This window comes from Homo sapiens, chromosome 3 (genome assembly GCF_000001405.40).
Source record: "Homo sapiens chromosome 3, GRCh38.p14 Primary Assembly".
NCBI lineage: Eukaryota > Metazoa > Chordata > Mammalia > Primates > Hominidae > Homo > Homo sapiens.
Genome location: NC_000003.12, coordinates 168,510,848 through 168,523,878, shown reverse-complemented (window position 1 = coordinate 168,523,878; position 13,031 = coordinate 168,510,848). Strand labels below are relative to the sequence as shown.

Below are 13,031 nucleotides of genomic sequence, written 5' to 3'. Positions count from 1 at the left end.
CAAGCAATCCTCCTGTCTCAGCCCCCTTAGTAGCTGGGATTACAGGCATGCGCCACTATGCCCTGCTAATTTTTGTATTTTTAGTAGAGACAGGGTTTCACCATGTTGGCCAGGCTGGTCTCGAACTCCTGACCTCAAGTGATCCACCTGCCTTGGCCTCTCAAAGTGCTGGGATTACAGGCATGAGCCACAGTGCCCAGCCAAGCTACTGTCTTTAGATTTTCTGAAAATCCAAGATTTACCAATGAAAATGAAAGACTTCAGAATTTTCAAAAGGGTTTATGCTAATGGTCAGCTTTCTTTAGATGTTCTGTATTTTAATTGCTGTGAGAGTATGCTCTTATCATTGACATCTTGATACTTACTTAGAGTGTACTGTTCTCTAAGTATAATATAATGCAGTTTATTCCATCTAATTTATTCTACTATACCTATTTCAGACTTTCATAGTGAGTTTTAGAGATATGTGTCTAATTTCCCCCTTATCATTAATTAAAGATTACATCACAGAATGTTGGGATGTTCTACAAAAGTAAAGATCATTTCTGAAGGCTGGAACACGCATATGCACACTCATACACACACACATTCATATATACACATATACATATCAAATCTAGAGACTCATTAACTAAGACCTAGGTTTTTCCAATAAATGATCCTCAAAATAGTAAATGGTGTCTCACACACACTAGGCACCCAGTAACCAACCAGTAGTTGAACTTATATTGTGGGAAGGGGCAAATATTTTTAAAAGAGGCACCAAATCAATAAAACTAAAGAAGTGGTGGCTGGCAGGCAAGAAAAAGGATAATAAAAATATAGTGTATGTAGAGATTAGAAAAAAAAAATGAGTGGGGCCTGCTAATTGCTGATAAGGAGATAGAAAAAAATACTGATAAATTATTAATGTGTGGCTTGTGATTTCACACACAAACTATAACCTTTAGGGCCTCAATCAATCTGAAAGAAATTGTTTAACATTAATAAATACATAAATGTAAGAATTAAAAGGAGGGATACAAGTCTTGTTTTGAGCAACAAAAGATTCTATAATAGGAGGAAGGCAGGGGATTTACTTTTTCACAGATAAAATTTTTGTATGGCCTGAACTTTAACTATATGTGATAATTTTTTCCTTTCCATTCCTTTTCCTTTTCCTTTCCTTTCCTCTCTTCTCTTTCTCTTTAGTTATTTTAAACTTGCTAACAAAACCTAGTTTTCAAAAAGAAATAAAATATTTTTAGGTGTTACTGTCCTCATTAGCTGGTTTCTTTAAACAAATACATTTACTTCAATAAATATGGAAAATGTTAAATTCGGGGGTGTTAAATTCAGGGATGAAGTCTGTCATGGATAGACAAAAACTGAATCCAATTAGTCTCTTTCACAAAATAACTGACAGAGGGAATAGGAGAAATCAATAATTTTAGTACCTTATTGTGAGCATTTAAGTCAACTTCTTGGGAGTTTAGGCAACTGCAAAGTTGGTTTGTAAGGCCTCCCTCACTTTTAACACCAAGTGCAAGTTTGGGGATTCCCAAAGCCATTCTTATGATAAATAATTTGCTAGAAGGACTCATAGAACTCATAGAAACTATTATACGTATGGTTACAGTTTATTACAGGGAAAGGATACAGTTCAATATCAGCCAAGGGATGAAGGGCAAAGGGCAGAGTCTGGGGAAGTACCAAATCTGGAGTTGCCATGTTTCTCTCCCCACAAAGTCAGGATGTATTACTTTCCTGGCATTGAAGTGTGACAGCTGACAGAGTATTGCCAGCCAAGAAAGCTTACCCAAGTCTCAACATTAAGAGTTTTTATTGGGGCTTCATTGTATGATTGCCTGATTATCCACATGGTTGATTTCAATTTCCAGGTTGACTGATACCTCGTGACTCAAAGCTGCCATCCTAAACCACCTGTCTTTTTCATAGCACATTTATGACCACAAATTAAATAATAAATATAAAAGTACTTCAAAATATTCTAATTATACCACAGAGAAAACATTTATATTAGCTTTTTTCCTATAGATTTTCTTTTAAAAATATCAGACAAGTTGTAACCAAAAAAAAAAAAAAAAAAGGAGGCGTTATGGCATAATGTAATTCAATTATACTTTAAAAAGCAGAACTTATTTTAAATTGTTCACGCGTGACAAGATGACATTTTTGTAATAAAATATTAATGTTAAAAATTAATAAGTAAAATGTCAGTGAAATCCATTACAATATGATGACACAAAATAACAAAAGCTATTTTTATTATACCTAGCACAATATCTTTTAAGTCCAAAGAAAGAAACAACATTATTGTACAAGATGTAATGACTTCAGCTTCTATCACATCTTTTGATTGTTCATCAAGAGGCTGCCTTTGGCTATTTATACTCTATTTGTACTGTGGGGAAACTGTTAATTTTTAGGAAGGAGAAGGTTGATCTGTCTGAGAAGAGGTAATATAAAAAAGGGAGAAATTTCAATTTAAAAATTTAGCAGGAATCACAGAAGAGTACATTGCCTTGAACCATGATATAACTACAAGTTTCAAGTCATCCATAAATGTATTTATGCCATGTGGTACATATACACTAGGAATACTATAAAGCCTTTAAAAAGACAAAATTACGTCTTTTGCAGCAACATGGATGCAGCTGGAGGCCATTATCCTAAGCTAATTAATACAGGGACAGAAAAACAAATACTACATGTTCTCATTTACAAATGGGAATCAAGCATTGAGTACACATAGACATAAAGATGAGAAAAACAGACACTGGGGAGTACTGGAGGGAGAAGGTAGAGAAGGGGGCAAGGGCTGAAAAACTACCTCTTGGGTACTATGCTCACTACCTGGATGATGGGATCATTTGTACCCCAAACCTCAGCATCACAGAATATACCCATGTAATATACCTGCATATATACCCCTTGGATCTAAAAGAAAAGTTGAAATTTTTTTAAATGTATTTTTCCCTGGTTAATAACATTCTGTTAGAGCTAGCAACTTTGCATTATCATTCCTTCCTTTAACCTGCATAGAAATCTAGTCAATGCTACAGATGATAACAGCTTACAATAGAATCTCTAAATGGAGAAGTGCCCTAGGGTGAGATATAAATAAAATGCATGGCAGAGTGGGAGAGAATACATGCATGTCTGCTTGGGGAAAAAGAAAAAAAAAATCCAGCAATGAAATGAAATGAAAGACACTCAGTGGGCTGGTAGTGCTATCATTGCACCTTTAGATATGCGTTGTCTGAAGTAGCATATAGAAAGGAACGGCTTCAGAGCTAGGGCTTTTTAAGGTCTTTGTCCACTCATGGGTCCAAGACATGAAGACAACACCAACCTAGACAACACCTGTCCAAAAAATGACAGCATAAGACCCAAGCTTATATCTAGACTTTGAATTCCAAACAACACAAAGACTAAGGATTCTTGTCCATTAATAATGATTACTTGGAACCCTAGGCCACCCTGGGTACTGCTGTTTCTGAGACTAGGGTTTTCTTTGTTCCTTCAATTTTCTAAAACACAGCCATAACTTCCCAACAGATTCCAGCAGCATTCTCACTTTTGCTTAAGCAAACTAAAAGTGGTGTCTCATGCCTGAAATCTAAGACCCCTGGCTAAAACAGCTTCTGTATACAAGAATTACAGACAACCACAGTGCTGACATCTTTGGTCAAGAACCTGTTAAGCTAACCAATGCAATTTTCTTCACGTACTTAACAAGAATCTCAGTTCTGTAAGAGATCTAAAAGGTATATGAAGACATGGCTTCTGTCTCCAGTAAACTTTAAATATAGCCAAGGAGACAGAAATCACACATGAGGAATAATCACAGAATTATGAATAACTAAGTTACTAAGGTAAAAAAACAAATCCAATTTTCTGTGCAATAGCAGGTCTGGAAAGGGAGAGAACAAAATAGAATTTCAAAGACTTTCAAAAAGAAGAGCAGGATCGAGTATGGACTATAATCTAAACAAATGGTCCCTCTCATTAGAAGTATATAGAAATGAATTTCACTGAAGAAAAATACCGGTACATACACTTAAACAAAACTAATAAATTCCCATGATAAATGGCTTTAGAGGTATATAATGAAGTAGAAAAAAAAAGAGTTTCCATTGATAAAGACACATTATTAACACACTGGCAGTATTCAGGTTTGCTAAAAATGTTCCACATTGAAAATGCTACCTCTGCTTATCATCAGGCATACCTACCTTGTCCAAAGGGCTTTTCCCATCTTCAGAAAACAGATGAGCCTGAGGATAGCGTGGAAAGGCTACAGGACAGATCCACAGGAATGAGAAGACGGAAAAGAGGACCTACAAGAGAGGAGTAAAAGCGATGAGCTCGTTAAATGTAAGAAAAGAGAAGAGATATAAAAACAGCTTTAAAAAGTGGCATTTCAAATATTTCAGAAGAGATTTGCCATTGATCCAAAATATCAAGTCACAAATAATGACAAACGAAAACAATGAGTATTTACTTTTAAACCATTATGTCCTGCTTTTTGAAGGTAAATAAAGCCTCTTAATTTTCCAAGAGTTTTTTTTTTTTTTTTTTTTTTTTTTGCATACAATTTGTTTTAACTTTCCCCTCAGACATACTTTTCTATAACTCAGGGATTTTAAGTATGGCTTGATTGAAGGATGGGACCACTTACTGGGGCATCAATTTACAAAGGTTAAGAACAGAACGGTAAATCTGGGGAGATTGAGGAAATGTTACTTAACAGGTTTCCTCTAAACCTAAATATTGTATATGATTAAGACATACATCGATAAACAGAACTACTATACAATTTATCATCTGACCTAGGTATTCTTTTGAAAGTTATAGGGGTGATACAGTTTGTCTCTATCCCCACCCAAATCTCATCTTGAATTGTAGTTCCCATAATCCCCATGTGTCATGGGAAGGACCCAGTGGGAGGTAACTGAATCATAATGGCAATTACCCCTATGCTGTTCTTGTGATAGTGAGTTCTCACAAGATCTGATGGTTTTATAAGAGGCTTTTTTCCCCCTTTGCTCAGCACTTCTTTCTCCTGCCACCATATGAAGAAGGACATGTTTGCTTCCCCTTCTGCCATGATTTTAAGTTTCCTGAGGCCTCTCCAGCCACGCTGAACTGTGAGTCAATTAAACTTCTTTCCTTTATAAATTACCCAGTCTTGGTATGTCTTTATTAGCAGAATGAGAATGGACTAATACAAGGTATATTATTAATAATTGTATTAGGACAAGGCGCAGACCACATAAGCATATAGTCACCTTATTGATAAGCCTCTCAGAGAAGAAGGGGGAGTAAGACTCCCAAAAAAGCATTCTAAGAGTAACAGTAGTTAGGACAGGTATTTTTTAGATGATTATTGTGCAAGTCTGGGGTGGGAGCTACATTGCTGGGGAAGAAAGGTACTTGTTCTTGAAGCCAGTCTATGTATGCCTTCCCTTCCCCCACCACAGCCGTCCCTGTCAAAATGTGTTGACCACATATTTCAAGAGTATTGACTTTGAGGGACACCAAAAATTATTAGTCTGAATTTACAATATAAAAAATAAATAATGAATATTAAAAAGAAATTCTAGAAAGGCAAGATATTGTTTTCTTTAAATTTCCCATGTGCATAACTAAGCTTTTTTTCTTCTCACAAATATTTCTTCTTGAAATCCTTCTTCAACTGTGTGCTCACTGAGATTTTATCAGAAGTGTGACACCCCCATTTCATTATGCTCTTAAATCCTGAAGCTACTGAAGAAAGCCCCTTACATATTCACAGCTATACCAAGCAAGGCGGAGCCAGGAGGCTCTGGATATGGTCCACGTTACCTTAACCAAAGAAAACATTTGACACTCACCTGATTCAAACACAGTGAACTGAGGTCGATGTGGGAGTTAGTGGTGGGATGTACTGAATCATCCAGTTTGATTACATTTAGCTGCTGATGCTAGGTAATTTCCAAACCACAACTGGAGTTGTTCTTTCTAGATTTAGCCAGAGACAAAGAGACTGTGTGTGTGGAAACATGTAATTCGCCCCCATAGATAACGAAGGACTCAAAGGTCAATTTGACAGCAAAAGAAATCTCTGAGGAGAAAGTGTAAACTCCACTTGGCTCTAAAGCAAGGAAGCGATCCCCCTGTGGTGAGGAGATCAAGATGTGATGAGACTTGCTTTTCTCATCTCTCCCCTGTGAAGAGGGAAGCAAATGAGTAATAATGGGAGCGTGCCTGATGATTACGGTGGCAATCACCTGAGCGGTAAGCAAACAAACGTGCTTCCAGCCAGAAGAAGGCACATGGCAGGGAGACCTCCGGTGCCAGAAGCCTTCAATTTCACTCACTAATAGCTCTGTAGAAAATCCAAATCAGGAATGGTAGAGGTTGGGTTGCTGGCTTGTGCCCTCCCTTGGTGACAGCTCCGGGCAATTTTACCATCCAGCTGTTCTGTTTTTCAAAACTAAAGTAATTGGAATTGAACTACAGAGCTTTGCTAAAACCCTAGCAATTAACAGTGCGATTTCCCAAATTGCACTGTAATGGGAAAGTGTCCGTCAATCAACCCAGTGAAATAACACATTTTCTCACCAGATGTGAGATTTAATATCTTCATAACTCTCTGGATTTACCACTTATGAATTGTCAGCCTCACCTCGAGCATTGAGAATTAATGGACTACATCCCTGCTATGTAGGTATAGTTTACAGCTGTAAAATATCCCCACCTTCATTTCAGATATATTTACCAAAATGATTTTCTTTAAGATGTAATCAGAAAACATGCTAGATGGGAAAATTTCATTTCTACTTACTATGTTATATTATCATTGTCTAGATAAATACAATTCCCAGAGTCTCAGCCTAGCACACTCTTGTGACAGGAATAACCAGTTTATCATCAGCAGTGAACAATAAATTGCAGTGTGAAGATGCAGCAGCTTTAAGCTTTAAACTTTAGAATATCCTCTATGGTTTTCTGGATAAAGACTGAAAATATTCTAAGTTTCTAAATGTGTCATACATGTACAGTTTCTGCTGACCATCTTGGACTGAAATAATAATTAAAATAACCCCATATATGTTCATTTTGTCACTATGATTATCAGGTAGGTCAGTTCTCATTTTAACTTTCACTCCAATCAAACATCTGAGCCATGGCAAGGATGAAGTTGCCTCCTGAAAGCAATCTGGGAGTATTCCTGTGATGCCAGAACCTCAAACCTCCCAAGTTTGGAAACTCATTCTTGCTTCTACCCACAGAGGGGGACTATTGTTAACAGTGAAAGTCACTTTACAGGTCTCAAATGGACTTAACTCATTTAACAAATTATTCTTTGCTGTGTTTTGGGGCCTTTGTAGTAGTAATATAAGCACAGTGTCAAGGAGAAAAAGAGAAGGAGCCAGGAGAAGCTTCAGATTTGGGCATGGACAGTTGTAGTGGCATTTAGGGAAGGTTCCCTAGAGGAGACCATGTCTGAGACTGACTTTATATCACAAGGGAAATATGCTGTCAGATATTGAGGTTGTCCAAATTATTAGAGTTATGTTAGAATAAAAACTCAGAGAATGTCCACATTATAAGGATATTTAGAGACCATCCATTTCATTTCTTAATTTAATAGATTCATAAAATATTCAACAAAAACTGTCAGTCATACTACTACATCAGCTGATTCAACTCACTTGGCATACATGTTATCCTAAGTAGTCTGTCATTCATTCTCAACTAATATCATTTCATTCTCCTTCCCATATTAGTTGGCTTTAGAATATGACAGTTTTTTAGGGAGAGGGGCAAAAGAGAATATTAGAGGACATGAAGAGATCACCTTGTCTAAATAATAAAGAAATTTGATATATCTCTGTATGATTTATTATATCAGAGATTAAACTCACAAAGCAATAATTACATATTAAGAAAAATTCATAGCCCATAAAGCCAGACTGATGAAATACAACTGAGATTGGTAAAAATCAATTTAAATGATTATATGAATCCCCAACAATATAGAAATAAATTATATTTAATAAATAGTGTTGGGCCAATGTGATAGCAGTATGGAAAAAATTACCTTAGAGTCATTTCTCATACCCCAAATTGTACTGTATTCCAGCTGAGTGAGAGTAAAACGTTTTATTAAAAACTAGAGAATAAAGAACAGGTCTTCTCCAGCGGTGGAGAGGAGATAAATTCCTGATACTAAAGAAATGGAGTGATTAGGATCTGAACAGAGACAAGATGGATAAGTACAGATATGGAAAACTAAAGCATCCAAACTGTAACATGTAAAAAAAAAAAAAAAGCAACATGAGACCATGCAATAAATACATCATTAAAATATACTGTTATATACATACATATATATAGTACATATATACATATGGATGTATATACACACACATCTATTTTTGCTTCCTGTTTTTGTGACTATTCTCTGTTAGGCCTAGAGGTCTTAGTTCCCAAGGGAAGAATGCTTCCATGAGGAGACCCAGCAATGATTCCACTGAACTGGAAGTTAAGACTGCTGCCTGGCCACTCTGTACTCTTCCTGCCTTTGAATTAACAGACAAAGAAGAGAGTTGACAAGGGGGATTGATCCTGACTATAAAAAGGAAATTGGACTATTAATCCACAATGGAGATAAGGAAGAGTATGTCTGGAATACAGGAGATCCTCTAGGGCCTTTCTTAGTATTACTATGCCTTATAATTAAAGCCAATGGAAAAACACAGCAATCTCATTCAAGCAGGACTAGTAATGGCTCAGACCCTCTAGGAATGAAGATTTGGGTTTACCGCACGAGGGTACTTTCTGAAGGCAAAGGGAATACAGAATAGTTTGGAAAACGGTCGTTATAAATACCAGTGACCAGTAACAGAAGCCAGGAATGTAATTGTCATGAGTATTTCCTCCTTATTTTGCCATGAATGCATTTGTATGCCAGATATATAAGAGATATACGAGAGGAAAGGAAGTAAAAATGTTTTCTTTCCTCTCTTGTTCCCCCATCAACTAAAATATGATTTATTGAATTTATATTATAGTATTTTAGTACTCTTAATTTTCTATAATAGTCTTTAAGTCATAGGATATCAAACAAAGAGTAAACACCATTCAAGTACTTTACTTTCTCATCTAGGAATCGAATTTTCAGTTGTATTCAGGATAGTTGTGTCATGTTAGACAGAATATAGCCTTGTTGTCATATTTCAAAGATTAGGTATGGTTTAAGAAGATCTGTATGGGTGCCTAGTTGATGAAAGGTGGACTTGTGATAACTAATTTTATGTGTGAATTTGACAAATCTCTCAGCTTAAACAATTTCTGGGTGTGTCTGTGAGGGTGCTTCAGGATGAGATTAGCATTTGAATTGGTGGACTCAGTAAAGTGGATTGCCCTTCCTAAAGCAGGTGGCATCATCCAATCCACTGAGAGCCTCAACAGCACAGAAGGTAGAGGAAGGAGGAAGTCACCCCTTTTTGCTTCCTGCCTGGTTGAAATGTAACATCTCATCATCAACCCTGGGACTGGGAATTACACTATCACCTCCCCTGGTTCTCAGGCCTTTGGGATGGGACTAAATTGTACCACTGGCATTCCTGGGTGTCCAGGTTCCAGTGATTACATTATGGAACTTCTCAGCCTCCATAATCACATAAGCCAATGCCTCATAATAAATCTCCTTTTGTAATAACTTACTGATTCTGTTTCTCTGGAGAATCCTGACCAATACACACACTGACATAACCAAAGCAACAGTCAGGCAGCACTTTGCAGAGGCTGCTGCCCCCTTCACTTTGCAGAGGCTGCTGCCCCCTTTCTCTGGTGCCTGGCCCTCCAGGTTGTTGTTGCTCCCACTACCATCTGTTGTCAAACACCTAGTCAGTTACACTCACTTATTTTGCCAGTTTGGAAAACTAGGAAAAGCCCATTTATTCGGAATTTGAGTTTGGGATCTATGATTTCTCTATTACTGAAGTCATTAAAAAGTTGTTTGTTCTTTCTAAAAGGCAATCTGGAAATATTTAACAAGAGTTGAAAAGCTATTAGTATTATTTTATATAATAATTTCACTTTAGGGATTTTATTTCAAAGAGAACCAACATGTACCCACTCCCCCCTTAAAAAAATTTACTCATAATAGAGAAAAAAGCAGGAAAAATGTAAATACCCAACAGCACAGAAATATCCAGGTAAACTAAGACACAACAACAGAAGAAACTTCTACGTAGCTATAACAAATGAAAGTAGGTTAGGTGCCTAGTTTGATGAGAATGCACAAAAACAGTTAATGAGAAAAGTTACAACAAGTAAGAAAAACTCCTTAAAGGTCTAGGGATATACAGACAGAGATACGAAGTGAATGTGAAGTGATGTTGACTGAGTTCAATATGTATGAAATATGTTTCACATAAAGGTGTTTAAATCATAATAAAAATGTCTAAAAGGAGGCTATACCTGTGTGCAGCTCCTTATGTTCGTTTGGGGGATTGACCCACATAATTTAAAAAGGTAGTTTTGACTACTTGTTTCTTGAAGACACCCCTTTTAGAGTCCACATAATCCTTTTTGTTTGTTTCTTTTCACTATTTCCACAGCCTGAGAATCAAAAACTTCTTCCCTTCATCAAATCAAAATCTCTTGAGTTTGTTGAAAATGTGTCTTCTCAATTCCTTTAAAATTGGAAAAGATGCAATAACCAATCTACATTCATGTAAAGATATTGCTTATCTTAGAAGCCAGTAACCAAATTCCAATATTCAATGTCTTTACAAGTCAGGGAAGCAGGGGTATATAATGGTTCAAGGCACAGGCTTTGGAACAAGACACACCTGGGTTTAAATCCTGCCTCCAAATCCAAGCCACTTAGCCTTTCTGATTCTCAGCTATCCTGTGTGTTAACAAAGGGGATAATGTTTTTTGTTTCATTAGGAATGTTAGGAATGTAAAGGATCTAATAATTCTGAATTGCTTGGTGTAGCATGTAACCCATAACAAGTTATTATGGCAGTAGTGGTTATTTTTATCAAATCATTCAAGCCGTAGCCTTGCTTTCCTATGAATATTCTGATAAGTCTTAGTTTTCTTACTACAATAATTCTTTTGTCTTCTTAGGGCCTTCTCTAGATTTTTCTTTTTTCCTCCTGCTTTCAAAGGGTGACTTTCACGATAGGGTGGCAAGCATTCTGTAATATTAGCGTCCAACACTGTTAGCATTCTGAAAAGTGAGGCAAAGATTCCATAATAATAACTGTTATGATGAAGGTATGAAAGACCTTAACTTTCAGGAATCTGTTTTACAGAAATGATAAATATTCTAAAGTCTGACTCTGAAGTGGGCTAAAAGAAAATCTAGACCCTGGAAACCATGGTATAACCAGAATTTTTAAATAGATCTTTATCATCACATTAACAAATCAAGTAGGCTATAATTTTGTCCACATACATTCTTTACCTTCTAAGTATTTGGAAAGAAAAGTAACTAGAAAATATAATGTGATATAAAAATATAAGTGCAAAATTATCAATTAAATTTATGTATTTACTTACCATTTATCAAATTCCTGTTTTTAGTGAACTCACAGTAGCCTAACATTTTTTCTTTAATGTTTTAATAAGTAACATACATTACTTTTGCATATGAACTTAAAAATCATTTGATAGATCAATTTTTTCTGTATTAAGAAAAATTAAATGATTATAAAGACTCCAATTGACATTAACTTCCAGTGACTAGAAGAGAGTTGTGACATCTCGTATCACTAACAAGGGTAAGAAGACCCAAGGCCCTTTGGAGGTAAACTTGCTTCTTACATCAAAATGGAAGTATTGGAAGTATCATAGAGATTTTCCCTAAAATTGAAAGGCATGTCCACTTAAATTTTAAAATAATGATAAAAACAACAATGGAGACATTCTGGTTCTTTTCAGTTAATCTTCAGTTTTGTTTGGAGATTTTAACAGAAAATTTTTAGAAGATTAATTTAAGTTTTGTTAGATTTGTGACTGGGAGTAGGGGTGAGTGTTTCCTCCCAAAACAGTGTACTCACCGACAGAGACTTACAGGAGGTAAAATACACTCATTACTACTAAGAGTCAGAAACATGATCGAACACTTAAAAAATATGTGAAACCAGGTATATTTGATACACAAACTAACAACATATTTGTTCTGTGACTGAGTAAAAAATAAAAAGTGACAAAATTTATTTTTGGCAATTGAAAAAAGAAGAGGGAGAATGAGTGCCATCTTGTGGAGAGACCTACACCTACCACGTCCAAGTTCTCTGCCCTAAGCTTTGATTTCTTTTTTTCCATACAAAGCCCATCAAAGTACAAAGATTTTTCCAGACAGACTTTCCTTTGTCTCTACCTACCCTTCTCTTTTCTTCATATAAAGGAAATGCTTTATTTTGTCCAATGGATAGTGCATTGTGAGCTGGGTCAAGGCAAAGGAATACCCCAGGAAAAATCAATACTGTGTCTGACCATTTTAAGGAAGAATTATTCAGAGGGATGTAAAGACATTTTACAATCTAGTATACAATTACCAAAGGAGCAATATTCATTTGAAAAAGGACTGTTCATAAAGGTGAGCAAATAACTTATACACGTGACAATCTGGGTCCCTCAAGAATCTCATCTGTCCTATCACCAGAGAAATTGAGGCAGATTTAGCATTTCCATTTCATAATCATGGGTTCATCAAATAGATGTATTCAAAGCCCCATTCATTTAGCTTGTATTGGCCATATTTAACCTGACGGCTCCATTAGAAAGGAGTTTACTTTGAGTATAAAAGATCATCTGCTAAATCACATAGAAATAATAACTATTTGATTATACTGGTGATAATACTAATGATAATAATAGCAACTATGGTTTATTGAGTACATCGTGACAGGTGATTGAGAGATTATAAGGACCTTCTTAACAACCTTGCAAGATAAATATTACATTATTTTACAATTAAGGAAGTTGAATCTCAGAGAAGTTAGGCAAATTGCTCA

The 13,031-nt window shown here is 35.9% G+C and overlaps 1 pseudogene across 1 annotated transcript in view, besides 1 other annotated feature; it reads right to left on the bottom strand.

Moving 5' to 3' along the window:
* Positions 1-13,031, bottom strand: part of EGFEM1P (EGF like and EMI domain containing 1, pseudogene) — a 581,078-nt pseudogene that overhangs the window by 306,721 nt on the left and 261,326 nt on the right. Inside the window, exon 4 of the transcript NR_021485.2 lies at positions 4,239-4,343. The product of NR_021485.2 is annotated as an EGF like and EMI domain containing 1, pseudogene (transcript). The remainder of the gene's footprint in view (positions 1-4,238; positions 4,344-13,031) is intronic.
* Positions 9,165-9,681: an enhancer, noted in NCBI's record as "OCT4-NANOG hESC enhancer chr3:168231986-168232502 (GRCh37/hg19 assembly coordinates)". NCBI's record gives its function as "activates a minimal SCP1, AML or CMV promoter by ChIP-STARR-seq in naive H9 embryonic stem cells {active_cell/tissue: H9 hESC(naive)}" and the evidence as "EXISTENCE:reporter gene assay evidence [ECO:0000049][PMID:30033119]".